This window comes from Homo sapiens (assembly GCF_000001405.40).
Source record: "Homo sapiens chromosome 1 unlocalized genomic scaffold, GRCh38.p14 Primary Assembly HSCHR1_CTG1_UNLOCALIZED".
Lineage (NCBI taxonomy): Eukaryota > Metazoa > Chordata > Mammalia > Primates > Hominidae > Homo > Homo sapiens.
Window position 1 is genome coordinate 84,505 of NT_187361.1, and position 17,279 is coordinate 101,783.

Genomic DNA, 17,279 nt, shown 5'->3' on the forward strand with positions numbered 1-17,279 from the left:
ATGTTATGTGCAGATAAGGGAACCTGGACTTGTCTTGCCTGGACATGCCCACAGCAGACCGGAGGCCAACATGCAGTGGGGGGATGGGGTGGAGTCACCAGGAATTCACGCCTTATGCAGAGGAGGAGCCTGGCCGCTTCAGCTCATGTGATCCTGGTATTCAATTGTGAGGTGGAAACCTCTTTGCAGGACCCCTCTCTTTGCTGAGAGCTGTCCTTTCACATAATAAATTCTGCCCTCCTCAATGTGTCTGCATGCTTAATTTTTCCTGGTCACGAGAGAAGAACCCAGATGTAGCTGAACTAAGGAGCAAAAACCCGGCATCAATACCTGCTACAGCACAGATGCAGCATGAAAAATTATGCTAAGTGAAATAAGCCAGTCCCAGCAGACCACTTGCTTTTTATTTCAGAGGCTTATAGGCAAATCTATACAAAGAAGGTGGGTGGTTCCCTAGGGCTGAGGGAGGAAGGGAAAACTAGTGAAGATGGCTAAATGCTGTGGGGTTTGTTTTTAGGGTGATGAAAATGTTCTAAAATTAATTGTAATGATGACGGCATAACTCTCTGAAAATGCTAAAGTTAATGAATTCTATACTTTAAATGAGTGAATTGCATGGTGTGTTCATTATTTCTCAATAAACCTGTTACCCCCCACCCCAAATTAATTTGGTACTAGAGATCTGGAGATAGGTACTGCTTGGTTTCAAATCACTGGCCAGGGTTCAAGGTCTAAGAGAATCAACAACATGTCCCTTTTATAGAAAAAGAGATTTATATTTTACAAGCTATCCTTTTCATTAGTATCAAGTCTGTAAACTTAAATGAAAAATCTTTCTTTCACTGCTTAAAGCACTGACAGATTTATATAGAGGAATAAGACCTTGTTTTCTTTGGCCCCAATTTCTATCTAAAGGGTCTGGGAAACACACCCTTCAAATTATCAAATCTCATCAGATGGGTTTTATTAACACTTATAATGTGGCTTCCTTGCTAATCTGATTCTGGTGCAGCATCACAGAGAGAAGAAGCTGAAGGAAATCAAAATATTTTACCCCCAAATATATTTTTGATGTATTTTGAAATGGCTGCTGCAGGGCCAAGAGATTGAAATGACCCTCATTAAGGTAGCCCAATCTCTCCCCTTCTAGGTCTTCCCAGATCTGGGGAAGATTAACTAAGAGCCTGAGGCATTTAAAGTTTGAAAAGATATATTTACCCTCTATTTTCTCAACATATTTTGGCAGAATTTGGATTTTTCCATTATCAATATTTTCCAAAATGCATGATTTTTAATACCAAAACTGATTTAAAATTACCATACGTTGGAATATAAATTATTCTATTATAAAGATACATGCATTTGCATGTTCACTGCAGCACTATTCACAATAGTAAAGACATGGAATCAACCCAGATGGACATTATCAGTGATAATGGGATAAAGAAAATGTGGTATATATACACCATGGAATACTATGGAGCCATAAAAATGAATGAGATCATGCTCTTTGCAGGAGATATGGATGAACCCGAAGCTGATATCTTCAGCAAACTAATGCAGGAAGAAAAAACCAAACACTGCATCTTCTCACTTATAAGTGGGAGCTGAACGATAAGAACACATGGACTCGGGGAGGGGAACAACAAACACTGGGGCCTGTTGGGGTCAGGAGGGAGAGCATCAAGATCAATAACTAATGCCCACAGGGCTTAATATCTAGGTGATGGATTGATAGGTGCAGCAAACCATCATGGAACACGTTTACCTATATAAGAAACTTGTTGGCCAGACTGGTCTTGAACTCCTGACCTCATGATCTTCCTGCCTTGGCCTCCCAAAGTGCTGGGATTACAGGTGTGGCCACCATGCCTGGTGGCTATTTCTCTTTTTAAATTCTCTCAGGATTCCTAAAATCTCAAAACTTTGACCTAGATTCCCTAATCTACATTTCCAGCTCTGACCATTTTCTTGAGGTCTCTTCCTTCTAGTACACATATTATAGAAAATATTCTCAACCACATGCTCATACATTGCTAATTGGTGCAGATTACTTTTGTAGATAGTGAATGTTGTCTATTTTATGTTGGTTCTCATTAATGTTACTTTGAGTATACTATTATTTTCTAATCTCAAAGGGGGACTATCTCACTGTTATGATAGTAACCAGTATACTTTGTCCTTTTTTCCTTGCTTTCTTCTTTTTTGGACCAGTATACTTTGTCCCTTTTTTGTTTTTCTTTTTTTCTTTTTTTTGAGATGGAGTCACACTGTGTCATCCAGGCTGGAGTGCAGTGGCACCATCTCGGCTTACTGCAACTTCCACCTCCTGGGTTCAAGTGATTCTCCTGCCTCGGCCTCCCAAGTAGCTGGGACTACAGGTGTACACAACCACACCTGGCTAATTTTTGTATTTTCAGTAGAGACAGGGTTTCACTATGTTGGCCAGGCTGTTTTTGAACTGCTGACCTCAGGTAATCCACGTACCTCAGCCTCCCAAAGTGTTGGGATTACAGACGTGAGCCATGGCACCCAGCCCTCTTTTTCTTTTATGATGAAAACTTTCCCATGAGAATCATATTATCAATTGTTTGCCTTTGTTTTCTTTTAAAGAAATTCCTTTTCCATAGAGATATGGCATGATGAAAGTCTTGTTCTAAAGTTTATTTTGGGGGACACTTAACTATGTCATTGGGAAGCTTCAGTAAGTAGAGATCTCCCTTCTTCTCACTCAAGATTCTTCGTCTCAAAATGGGGTCCACCAAATGTCTTAATCCAGGTAGTCCCTTGTTTAGAAATTCATGAAATAAGAACCTTCTCGAGAAGTTGGAGGCTATTGATTGAGATGGTTTAACGCTGCCCCTTATTATATGTTTTACTCCCAAGGTAGACATCAAAGTGGCTAATAATTCTATGACTGATGTCTAACTCACTTCTATGGGAATCTATACAAAACGTTTTATTTATGAGACAGAGTCTCCCTCTGTTACCCAGCCTGGAGCACAGTGGCTTGATCACTGTTCACTGCAGCCTCAATATTCCAAGCTTAAACGACCCTCCTACCACAGCCTCCCAATGTAGCTGGGACTACAGGCGTGCACCACCATGCCTCAGATAAGTGTTTAATTTTTTTTTTTTTTTTTTGAGACAGGGTCTCACTATATTGCTCTGGCTGGTCTCATACTCATGGGCTCAAACGATCCTCCTGCTTCAGCCTTCCAAAACCAGGTGTTTAACTGGGGACTAACACGAAACACTTAGAAGACTACGTGGAACATAGTGAGCTACATAAAATATTTGCTATTAGCATAATAATTTTATTGTATATCTTAACAAAATTGTGTATTTTAGGCAGGTGGCATGCCAATGAAAGTACTCTCCTATAGCTGCACTGAATCATTCTTACCACTGAGAGTTGCAGCAAATGGGGGACATAATTTATAACTTACTTTTCTCTCTGTATGACTCATTAGGCAATGACTATGTATGTACTACAATGTAAACAGCACCTCCTGGATTGAATAGTACATAACTGACATGACCAGCAGAGACAGGCTAAAGACACTGAGCTGAAAACCCTGGACTCTATTGTTAAATCAAGGCTCCTGAATCCGTTCCCTCTGAGCAACTGTTGCTGTGGTGCTGCCTTCACAATCACTCTGCTGAGCACTCAGATTGAGGTGCTGTGCTATCCGTCATCGGACAAGCTGCACCCAGAACTGTTCAGCTGACAAACTGGTAGCAGTCCAGAAATACAGTTCTGCTGCATAGTGAAAAAAGGCCAATTTAGATTCTTTTTCATAGAGAGAAAAACATAAATATGTGATTTAACAAGTCTCCTGTATTAAACTAATTGGTTTAGATTTGATATATAATTGCTAAAAACACACTTAGAATATAAACCTTACTGTGTCAAGGTCTCAAAGAAGAAATAATTGGTATGGTATAAAGTATTGAATTGTATGCTACAAACTTCTAAGCTAAAATACTTTCAATGTATGCAAGGATAGGTGGCATACATATTATATATTATTCCCCCATTAAGCAAATTTATAATGAGAGAAAATTATCTTCCATAAAAAAAGCCATGTAAAATTAAGAACTAAGTTTTTCTGCACAGACTAGACAATGATTGCTAACACATAAGGTCAATGAGAGAACAGTCAGAGAAAGCTTCATGAAAACAATAAATTGTCTGCCACGTCTGAGTGAATGAGGCTAGATGAACAGAAACTGAGAACGTAGAAAGAATAGCATGAGCAAGATAAGTGCTGAAATCTGCCCAATTAACTCTGAGGATAAAGTCCAATGGCAGAGAAATAAAAACCCGTGTCCACATAATAACCTGTAAGTGAATGTTCACAGCAGCATTTTTCATAAGAGCTAAAAAGTGGAAACTAACCTAAAGGTCCATCAACTGATGAATGAATGGAAAACCAGTATAGCCATGGAATAGAATATCATTTAACTATAAGAAGAAATAAACTACCAATGTGTGCTAAAACATTATGCTAAATGAATTCTGAAAACATTATGCTAAGTGAAAAAGCCAGTCACAAAGGACTACGTATTGTATAACTCTATGTATATGAAATAAGCAGAACAGGCAAACATATGGAGACAAAAGTAGATAGATGGTGGTTGCCTACAACAGAGGTAGGTGGAGGGACATGGAGGAAGGCTGCAGTCATGCCTAGGAGATGTGGGGTTGCTTTTCAGGGTGATGAAAATGCTGTGAATATACTAATAGATACTGAGTTGTACATTTTAAATGGTTGAACTCTCTGAAATGTGAATGTTATCTCAGTGAAATTGTTTTTAAAATCCAAAGGCAGGATCAAGATAATTTTCTCAACTCTCAATTTTTGATGTACATGTTATCTCAAATTTAAATATTTCCACAGTTTTATAGTATATTTTAAATAAAAGATAAAGAAAATACCTAACTTTTCAAATAGTTTGCAAATTAACCTAAAACATGCACTTTTAAAAGAATAGTATAATGACCTTTCTGTACAAGTTAACCTAGAATCTGTGAAATAAATAGACACAGATTCTGTGTCCACTCACAAAAGTGAAGAAATAAGACAATTTTCTGGAACATTCCATGAAACATTCTTCTCTGATTTAATCTGGCCTGCCTCATCAGAGCAATACAAAAATTACTTAAAAATACTGTTTTAACAGGACAAAAGTCAGTTTTCTATGAGGAATGATGTATAATTCTCAACTTTTCCAAGGGTACATATTGTAAGAGAAAAGGTATGCAATGGTTTTTCAAAATGGTAGAATGAAAGTCACTATATAAAAAAATAAGTACATTATAGAGATAGTAAAATGGAAATAATTCATTGTAATGAAAATAAAAAATCAAGCTTCTGCCATAATTAGTATCCTAAAACATGTTATGTAATTCAACTAGCTACAGAATAACAGTTGACATGCTAAGTTCCATACATACTTGACTTTCCACTTGAAATAATTTCTTCTTTGGGACCTGTGTCTCATCCAAATTAATGTGATAATGTGATATGCCTTCCAGTGGAGACTCTAACATAGTTAATTTTTTTAGGCTGTCAGCCGCTTCTTGTTGAAGTTGTCTCACAACCACCTGAGAAAAATATTTTTGTTACTGATTTTATAAATTGCCTTATTATTAAATTATGTTAATAATATTTAACTCTAACATACCTACTTTGAAAATTATCACCACACATATCAATTCACCTTCTTTTAATCACATGTACACATTTTTATTTATTACTGAATTCAGAGAGGGATGCACAATATGTTCTCTTCCTGCCAAGTTGGTATTCTCTTACTTACATAACAGATTCATCCCACCATTCAATCATCTTAGAAGCTCAACTCAACCTCAAAGTTCCTGACATATTCAATCACCTGTTCAAATCCTTCCAACAGATTCCTATCTCAGAATAAAAGTAAAATTCCAATGGCCTTTGAGGTCCTAGGTAAACAGGTCTCTACCTCTCTCTCTGACTTCAAAGGTCCTACAACTCCCTCCTGTAATTACTCCATTCCCACTGTACGTGAAGCCTGCCACCCCTCAGTCTGAAAATAGGGATCTAATGCCTTACTCATAAATCACAGGCAGCTACAAGTATCTTTGTACTGAACAAAATTATATTCCAATGATAGTCATTGAGCCTTGAAATAAAAATTAGGAGCTAATTATTAATATAAATATTCAAAGTAAACTATAAATACCAGTGGGAAGACTAAACCAAATATAGTTTTGCTAAATATTACCACATGTATCCTAAATTATGATTTTATAACAAGCAGGTGTCTTTATAACATTACATAGTCATAAAAATATGTAATTTGACATATTTTCAGATTTGTTAAATTAATATGATTAATAACAAAGATATACCAACTAAAATACATAAAAAGTTACTTAAAGCAAGGTATTACAAGACACAGCAATACACTTCAGTTCATCTGGGAAATCTAGAATTAAGTGTCAAAGAAAATCAGTTAAATTTTAATTTGAAAATACTCATTTCAGGTGTAAACATTTCCATTTATACTTACATTATGGTCTTAACATGTGGCAACATAAAGTCATTAAAATTATTATTTCAGCAGTACAGAACTATCTACCTTAAAATATGACTCTGTGCCTAATAAAATTTCATAGGTGACACAATGTCTTTTCTCAAAGTAAATCATCTCTCACCTCTACCTTTTATTTCCTAGAAATGAGGCACGTTTCTAAGCTGGTATAGTAAACACGGTTTTCCTTTTTTTTTATTAAAACAGCTTTGTAGAAATATAATTTACATACTATAGAATGTATCTGTTTTAACTTAATGTTAAAAGATTTTTTAGTCCATTTACTGAGTTGTGCAGCCATCTCTACAATCCAACTTTACAGCATTTCCATCACTGCAAGATCCCTCACGCCCATTAGCAGTCACTACCAGCTTTCAGCCCCAGCCCTTTGCAAACATTAGTCTACTTTTTTCCCTATACATTTATCTTTTCTGGATGCTTCATGTAAATGGAATTATACAGTATGGTGAACACACTTTTTATCCATTGATTTTTATATTCAACTAAGTTCAACATGTATCCAGAACCAAATGTTTAAATTTTCTTTCCAAAAGTTTGAAAATATTTATCTTCCTTGATACTTACTACTCTTTCTGCTTTCTCTCTCTCATATTGAAAGAGACTTTCTTTTAAATGATCACATTCATTCATTAGCTTCTTATTTTTCTCTTCTAGCATGAGGTCTTTCTTTCCACTCTCAATAAAGCCTCTTTGGATATTAGTTACTATCTCTTTATGATCCTCTTTCTGATGAACATCATCTAGTTGCTGTTCAATGCACGGATTTTCATGTTGGAGTTGACATATCCTCTCTTCTACACAGCTCCACTTTCCAGTGGAATTATTCACTTTAGCTTCTGCATTTTCATACATCTCTTTCATTTCCTTTATTTGCTGCTGTGTTTGGCTTAGGTCGTTTGGAGAGTTTCTAAAGCCAATGACTTTTTTCTGAGAGTATCTCTTTTCTTACGGAACTTATCTTTTAAGGTATTGAATTTAATTTGCGTTTTAGAAAGTTGTTCAGTAAGAAACTCATTCGTATCTTCTACTTCGGAAATATCAGAACTGATTTTTACTTGTACGGAAACATCTTGTGTTCACTCTAATGCAAGTTTTAGGTTTCTTTCTGTTTTCACACTTTCACTGTGTTTACTTATAGCAGCAGTCAGTCTAGACTGATGATTCAATTTCAGCTTCCAGTCTTTTGTTGCTTTCTTCTTCCTTCAACAGTTCGGAATTGAGCCTTGTATTCTCAGCTTTGAGATCACTAAGCTCTTGTTGATACCGGAATGCTGTTTTTGTTATCAATTCCTCATTGAGTTTTATATACTTTTCAAGGGCAGCATTTGTTTTTTTAACAATTTTAACGTCCTTAAGATATTTATTTTCTTTTTCCAGGTTGTCATTTTTCATTGTGCATATTTCCTGTCTGAGTATAGCAATATCTGTCTTCAAAATTCAATTTTCATCCATCAGATCTTTCATTTCTTCGTGATTACGAAAATCCTAAATAAAACAAAAGAAAGTTTTAGCTAGTACTCAATAAAATAACATATCATGATTACCTCTGAAGTTAAAGAATAACCTGCACGTCCATATACTAAAAAGGTTACTGTAAGTGGATATCCAACTGGAGAAAAAGTTGAAGCAAAACTTTGAACCTTATAGAGCATAAGTTCAAAAAAGTTCAGAAATTTATTTAAAGTCAATGAATTTATAAAAGTAAACACACACACACACGCACACCAGAGAATTTTTAAGAATTTCAGAATTGGAAAAGCCTTTCCCTGAATTACAACAAACTCAAAAGCATAAATTAAAGCATTAACAAATTTGACTAAATTAAAATATATCAAAAAATTGCATTTACACTTTGATATCTAACCCATACACTACCCTATAGTAAGAACCTTACTTCACACGTATTTGGACAGATAAAATTTCCCAGAGTTACTACAGTTCTGTTTCACTGATAACATTCTATTTCAATTTGACTCTTTTAACACTTTTATAGTCAGTTGTAAGAATTACATTTACTAAATCATAAATCTAGACATTATACTAGTCACTCCTGTATACATTCATTGATGAACTCATCTAGTTACCACAATTTTGAAAAAGAAATGTTAAAAATATAAGCAAGCTACAGGATTTTCCCCAGGACTTCTGACTCTACTTCTAGTTCTCTGACAGATCACAGTTACTTCTGTGGTGTAAAAGTATCAATAAGAAAGAAAAGTTTTCTTTCAAAACACCAATGGTAAATAAGATAAAATTTATAGAGCTCTTCTTAGAATATCATGAGATTATTTGTGATTGCAATAATTTATTTCCTCTTTATAGTATTAGGTACAGTAATCAATATGAAATAGCTGGAAGTACAAGGAACAATTTTACTGGGAACAAAATCTTTATCAATAGGTTATCACTAAGTATATATTATGGCATATTATTGTTTTCAAAAGCTCTTTGTAATAAAATAATATCCTATGTGGATGCCAAGATTTATAATAAATATTAATAATTGTACCTGTAAGTGTCATCATTCATTTTTTGAAAATGAGATAACATTTCTGGTTTGTTTTATACCAAAATATTATATATTAAATCAAGAAGATATTATAAGTGACATTGAAAAAATAAAGTTTAAAATATAGAATTTTTACCAAAGATTGATTTATCTGATTTGGAGTATTTCTTGTAGTCTTCAGTTTCATGTCTAGTGATTGAACAGTTGGTTCAAGTTGTTTCGCTTCAACTTCTTTCTTATATTGTTTCTCTTTCCTTTCTAATTCTTCTCTATTTTTTTGTACAGCATATTAACATTTGTTTTTTCTTCACTTTCTTGTCTTAAGATGCATCTGCAGATAAAGACATTTATCTTAAAATTCATTTTGTTAAAAAACAAAGAGATCATCCTGTAATCTACCTCTGCAGATGCTATTTATCATCCTAATAAAATTTCTATGTTCTGGATTATTTTTCCTTTGTAGTTCTCAGATATTTAATTTCTCACTCCAACATCTTCAAACGAATGTATATACTTGAAAAGTAGTAAGGAAAGAATATTCTGCTAAAGTTTTTGTTACTAGTCACTCTAGTATGTATTATAAAAAAGGATACTGGAAATAATTCAGTATAGTTAGAAGTTCAAAATTACCTTTTCAAATCACACAGTCATAATTACTCCCCGATTAGAAAAGATCATTTACAATCAACTAAATTTTTAAAGTTACTATTTATTGACAAGCGTGTAAGTTCACTAGAAATAAATTTTCATCTCTATGAAATATTGTATGTGTCTCTCCAAATGATTTACACAGTAAGATGTCTCTCACACAAACTATATCTGTAGATGATTGTCATCTAAAACTAGGCTAAAGAGTCTAACATCTGTTACCCCACACTTTTTATAATTCTTTCTTAATACTTCCAATTCACCTTCTTATTACATATATTTTATATATTTATTAAGCTATTGTTCATTATGTGTAATATATAATTAATGCCCTTAATAAGTGTGTGTATGTTTACACAAGTTATGTTTTCCTGTGAAATCTAGTCCCAGAAGTGGAGTTGATGAGTTAAAGGGATGTCAGGTTATTTGAAATTTTGATACACAGCACTAAGTTACCCTTCAGAAATAATTTACCAATTTCATATACCAACAGTGTATGAGAATGCCTTTTTCCTCACATTTTCAATGGTAGTAATTACTTTTTCAATATCAGCATGACTTTACAAAATATATCTTATTTTATGTTAATTTGCATTTTTCTGATTACCAGGCAGGGCTAAATATCCCTGGTAAAACTATAAAACTTGTTAATCATAAGGAACATTAGTCCAATTTTGAATTAGTTTATAGCACAATTACAATTATCTGCTGAGAAATACTGCTATAGGTGGCCAGGCACGGTGGCTCACTCCTGTAAACCCAGCACTTTGGGAGGCCGAGGTGGGCAGAACACCTGAGGTCAGGAGTTCGAGACAAGCCTGGATAACATGGTAAAACCTCATTTCTACTAAAAATACAAAAAATTAGCTAGGCATGGTGGTACATGTCTGTAATCTCAGCTACTAGGGAGGCTGAGTCAGGAGAATCACTTGAACCCAGTATGCATAGGTTGCAGTGAGGTGAGAACACACCATTGCACTCCAGCTTGGGCAACAAGAGAGAAACTCCATCTCAGAAAAAAACAAACAAACAAAAAACAAACAAAAACACACTGCTATAGGCTTACTTACCTATCATGCTCTTTCTTCAGTTTCTTGGGAAATTGCTGAGGATACGTTTTCCCAACCTTTCTTTGTTTGGTTAATCTGTCAGCAGCAGCAGAAGATGTACTATGACATACATTTTCTGATAGTTGTATTTTTTCACTTTTGTTTGTATTATTTCCTTCTTTGACCTTTAATAAAAGTAATATGAATAATAATTATTATTTTATTCAATAAAAAAACTTTTTCCCTGATTTTTTCACTTGATTCAGGTTAACTATCACCATTTTAATGATAAAAGTATTTTGTGCTTACTTTAATTTTATCATTATACATAATAATTATAAGATACTTATCATTTTATCATTGAAATTTTTGTCAAGTCTGCTCATTTCTGTTTGAGTGAATGGAATAATTTTCCAAAATTTCAAAAAGGACTCTTCTCCATTTTGTGCTTTTATTCGCATCCACTCTTTGCTATCTGATATAAATGTTTATGCTATCTGACTGGCAGAAACAGAGAAATAAAAAGACACAGGCATAACATATATCTTCTGTCATTGCCACCTGGATTTTACATGAAATAGCCAGATTAAGAGGATGTGACCTTGTAGGCCTTCAGGAAGAGTAAAGAAGTTTTCCTTTTCTGCACTGAGCTATTCTTTTCCCTACTGCCTTTTATCTCTCTCTTTTTTTTTTTTTTTTGGATCCTGGGATATCAAAAAAGTGAAAGTTCTCCCTGAACTATGGGAACCAATGTTTGTCACAACACAAGAAGCAGAGTGAAACTGCTGAGTTTCTAGTGCAGAATTCTGGAAAACGAGATGCTTCCCAGATTTCACATTCAATTACCACAAACGTTTATAGGTGGAAAACAAACGGTACACTTATCTACTATAGCTCCATTATCTACTGAAAATGGGAGTCAAACCAACCAAGACATATGAAATGTTTCATCCAGAGCTCTTGAGGTGGCATTCCCTAGCATTTCACGGCACCAAATAGCATGATATAATTCCATATTGCTGAATTACATAAATTACCAGATAAATTTATCAAATTAGTCAGATATATTAAAAGTCTAACCTGAGCAAAGCAATTTAACACCTCAGAGGGTGGAAAAAGGCCTCATCTGCTTTTACTTTGAAAGAAGAAAATCTCTAGATTTTTGCCTATCTTTAGAACACAATGTACAGAACTCAACTTTCTACTAAAGAGTCAAAGGCTAAATTTTTAGCTAAGAAATTATGCTTCTTTCTTACATGATAAAAATCATACTTGCCAAAACTTACCATACTTTATTAAACAACATAATGTAAGGTCTGATTCAACAGAAATATTGGAGTGGTGATTTTTTAAAATATGTGGAAGTATATATTTGTTTTCAAAATATTGGAAATAACCATGATGGAACTATAAATTCAAACAGTTTGAGCTAAGCAGATAAACTGGCGTGCATGAAAACACATTAAACAGACTCATTTGGCTGGGAATATTCATTGCAACTCTCAAGGCTAGACGTGTTTTTGTGGCTCATCTCAGTCATTGCTTCCCTCCCATTGTATTCCCATTCTATCATTAAATAAATGTAATTCATCTCTAAATGAATACAGGAAAAAGAATCTAGAATCTAAAGCTTATTTCTTTAGCAATTTCTTTATGTTGATCTGGTTCAGAAGGTGACATGGTATATGGCTGAATTAGTTTCCCAGCTCATATGCCACTTGGAAGACTGAGAGTGAGACTTAGGTTGATTAATGAAGAAACATTATGAGAACATTCTCCAGGACCGTTGTTTAGATAGCAGGACTAATCTACTTTGACACATAATTACACATTTAGAAAACCCCGCTGTAACTGTACACATGAGATTTTCTTGAATAGAAAATTTGACTAAATCAAATAATTGATAAAGAGAAAAAAGAAGCAGCAAGTGAACCTCTGTCTTTTTGAAGTTGGACTTTCTCTTTCTCCAAAGCCAGGAACTCTACTTGTAACATGCCTACCTCATTCTTTTTACTATTATTATACTTTAAGTTCTGGTACATGTGCACAATGTGCAGGTTTGTTACGTATGTATACATGTGCTATGTTAGTGACCTTGGAATATCTTGCTGTAAGTCTTCTAGCTATATTTTTGATGTTCTCTCACTATGTGGCAAAGAATAACCCGCATTTTATAATTCAAGATTCATGGTTTTGTAGTTATTAACACTGGGATTGTCATACAGCGGCTTCTGGAATAAGCACTGTGTTGGTTTTCTGTTTTTATAAGTATCTGTAGCAGCAGAAATACTGTGACTTTCTATCTGAATCATATGCTTCATTTCTTTGGGGTGGGTAAACCACAAATCAAAAAGACTTTCTGGATCTCTAGACTGAGACCAATGCCTAATGTCTAATTTCCAATTAGTGGTATTTGGGTTTATATATTTTTCCATTTGCATGTCAAACTCTTAATCATCTTTCATTTCAATCATAATTACTGGGTTCCTTACTTTTTCAGTTTCTATATCATAACAAAAATTTTCATCATCTGTGTTAGAAACAAGCTGTGTGTCTGGTTTGTTATCATTTTTATAGTCTGATTTATTTTAATTTAAATGAAGCTTAGAAGATGACTGGTAAGTGTATTTCAGGGACCTGGAGTGTGAATGGAATAAAAAGACATTTGACATGGGCTTCCTCTGTTCAGGCGCTGCCTGGACTGCCACAGAGCTAGACCCTCCAGATACATTTTTCTCCTCACAATCAAGGACATGATTCATCAGACTAGAGGGCACTCCTTTTTTGTTCATCCCTCTTTAGAGTTACCATGTAGGAGCTCTTCCTCAGGGCAAGCAGTAATTTTGGAGTTTTCAGAACTTTTACCAATATTCAGCTTGAACTTGTTTGTAATGAATTTTAAAGAAAGTCATGAATATATAGATTGATTCCCTTTATCACTGTTCTTACCCAGTTCTGGTTCTTGAGACTTTTTTTTGGGGGGGGGCAGGTGCAAAATGGAAAACAAATTTGCTTGTTTTGTTTCTCAGATGTCTTTTCTGTCAGAGTGCATGTTTTAAAATTAGCTTTAATCAAGTATAAACAAAGAAATATTAGAAAATAATTAAAATTTAACTGTGAAACTTAATCTATGTGTTGCTACTCTTAAATTATTGGATTGTAACTAAAAAGTGAAAAATAGTTTGCCTTGGCTTAACATAGGACAGAAATATGAAACAGCAAGCTGAACTCTTAGTGTCTGTTTGGACTAAACTTAATGCATTTGTGTAAAATCTACCAGAAATGAATTCAAAGATGATAGGTAGTATTATAAAAGCTTCCTCTCTTACAAAGACTTTACCTCAGCATATCAGAAAGAGTGAGCCCCTACAGTGCATGTTTATTTCTGAAGATTAACTAGAGCACTAGGCAAACACTAAATTATTAAGAGCTAAACTGAACACCAATAAGAAAGAGAAGCAAAATTTTAAATTCTAATTCAAATGATATACTATGATAGTGTTATGTATCTAGATAGAATTTCTGCTTATATCCACTTCTAATATATTTTAAGTTCCGGTAGTGATAGGGTTTGGATTTTTTAAATTTTAGTAATGTTTACTATGTATTTATGTTGAAATAAAGTTATTGTTCACACCCTGACACCAAAGGTCCCATTCTGCAAGGTAGGATTCTCTTAATGGGCAACTGCATTGACTTTTATGACCCCATTCACTCCCTGAACACAGACACAGAAGTCAGCTGGTGACCACAAAACAGAATAAATCTTTAACCTCGGCACTGGTGACCAGCAATATAAAACTGCAACATTTGAAACACTGGCAATGATGATTCCTTTAACACTAGTTTAACTCAGTGGTCATTGTTGTTAAACTGTTCATAATTTCTATTCCTCAGTAATATGACCCAATACTTCATGTTACCTTGTGTATTATGAGTAAGGTTACATAAATAAAACAGCAAGATAATTCTGAAAATTTCTTGCCTCAATTCCAAGGGTAAAGACAACTATGAGTTACTAGAGATACTAAGAATTACTAGAATAACTAATAGTTACTAGAGATAGTAAGAATATCTTAAGTTTCATAACTGGTTAAGATGTTTTAAAAATTAAATATAAAATTATGATCTATTGGATTCTAAAGGTATAGTCTGAAAGGTCATGTCATTTGGACTGTGCTTTGTTAGTAAAGCAAAAAAAAAACTAATATTAAACAAGAACTTAAATTTTCATATACCTGTGATTGCTTCTTTTCACTTCTTTCACACCTTTCTTGCTCTTCCTCTAAAGCCACTGGTAAGGTTTGTTCTGTTGACAAATTCATTGATTTAGTTCAAATGAACTAAGAAGAGTTAGATAAAGACTATAATCTTTATAAAAATAAATAGAGAATAACATTTCTTTGTATTTTATATTTTGAGAGTTTGAATGAAACAATGTTTACTGAAATATTTACTTCTGTAAGAAATACTTCTAATTATCCAAAACTTCAACAAACCACTTGGGGAGACACCAGATATCACCAGATTCAAGCCATGCAAAATCTCAGGGTCACTCACAAATTGTTCCACCCAACATAAGTCAACAAAACTGTTGGAAACAAAACAGAAATTTGAAATACAGTCAAAATATACAATGTAATGCTTTACTATACTTCATAACAGTATCTTTTTAACAAGACACTAATTGAGTTGGCAGTTACTAATAATTTGCAAAATTATTGTTGTTTATACCTCAATTAGTGTGCACCCCATTTTTTACATCACAAATGTTTTCCCCTGCTATTCTGAAAAATTTATTTTCATCTTTTAAGACTCAGAAAGTAGGCTGGGCATAATAGCTCACATCTGTAATCCCAGCACTTTGGAAGGCCAAAATGGGAGAATTGCTCAAGGCCAAGAGTTTAAGACCAGCCTGGGAACCATAGGTAACCTTGACTCTACAAAAAATTAGACAGGTATGGTGATATGTTCCTGTTGTCCCCGCTACTCAAGAAGCTTAGATGAGAAGATCCCTCGAGCCCAGAAGTCTGAGGTTTCAGTGAGTCTCAATCATGCCATTGCACTCCAATCCTGGGTGATAGAGTAAGAACTTGTCTCCAAAAAGAGGAAGAAAAAAAGGCTCAGAATGCTATGTGAAATCTTCCTTGATTCTAGCTATCTTTCTCCACACACACAGGTGTCTGCTTCGTTGGGGTCCCTTAGTACCTTGTCAATTTTTCTAGTGTCACTTTACCACCTGACCTGCACATCATGTCTTTACATGTTGACCCCCTTTGCTGCTAGACTGTAGAGGACAATCTTTTGAATCATCTTTGTATAAACAGTCTTAATTTTGCTAAATAATTACTTATTGAGTTCCTGCTAAGTGTTAGGCACTGGGGAATAAGGAAGGAAAATAGAAGCTGTCAGGGATGGCTTTCCTAAAGATCACCCATGAGCTGAGACTTAGAGAGTGAGGTTAGCCAGATTAAGTGAGGCAGAGGGCAGGAAAGGGTGAGCACATGCCAGGCGGCAACAAGAGAGGAAGAGAAGCCTCCAAGAGAGTATGTATTTCTCTGCAGAAGAGGAATGGTGAGGGGCCATTACCAGCATCTCAGTAATTCCAGAGATAAAGGCAGTTGGGGAAAGGGATACAGATGGAGATTTGGGCAGAAATCAGTTTCCTTTCCTTTTCTTTTTTGGGACAAGGTTATACTCTGTCTCCCAGACTGGAGGGCAGTGGCATGATCTCAGCTCACTGCAACCCGGCCTCCCAGGTTCAAGTAATTCTCCTGCCTCAGCCTCCTGAGTAGCTGAGATTAGAGGCGCGTGCCACTACCACCTGCTAATTTTTGTATTTTATTAGAGATGGGGTTTCACCTTGTTGGCCAGGCTGGTCTTGAACTCCTGACCTCAAATGATCCACTTGCCTCAGCCTCCCAAAGTTCTGGGATCACAGACATGAGCCACCTTGCCCAACCCAGAAGTCAGTTTCTGAAATCCTTATATAAACCTTTAAGATGCTTGGACATTAGGTATTCAGGAGTGGTTCACGGATCTATTTGCATTAGGGATAATTCACTCTAAATACTGTGAGGAGCATAAAATTCTGAGGCATATAAATCAATGAACAAAGATAAAATATAAGGCAATGTTGCAAAGATGATGCAGGCCTGAGGAGATGTTTTCAGAAATATTTAGGATATAGGTATCAGTGGCCATTATAAGAATGAATTTCTATTGAATAAATAAATGTATATATCTGGGTCCCTGGAGAAATACACTCTGCTCATTACTTTACAAATTTTATCAAATGAGAAGTAAAATAATATACATAAACTCTTTCAGTTACTTGTATTTACTTTACCCTTTTTCTGTTTCAGTTTTACTGTGCCAAGGAAATGCATTTGGGTTTTGTGGTGGTTGTTGTGGTTGTGGTTGTTTTTGTTTTTTGAGATGGAATTTCACTCTTCCTGCCCAGTCTGAAGTGC

The 17,279-nt window shown here is 34.8% G+C and overlaps 1 long non-coding RNA gene and 1 pseudogene across 1 annotated transcript; one reads left to right on the top strand and one right to left on the bottom strand.

The window, feature by feature from the left end:
• Nucleotides 1–9: 9 nt before the first annotated feature.
• Nucleotides 10–4,928, top strand: LOC124905319 (uncharacterized). The gene is made up of 2 exons (XR_007068531.1): nucleotides 10–441; nucleotides 3,474–4,928. It is a non-coding gene; the product is annotated as an uncharacterized LOC124905319 (long non-coding RNA).
• A 1,988-nt stretch (nucleotides 4,929–6,916) lies between these two features.
• Nucleotides 6,917–10,995, bottom strand: ANKRD20A13P (ankyrin repeat domain 20 family member A13, pseudogene; annotated as a pseudogene).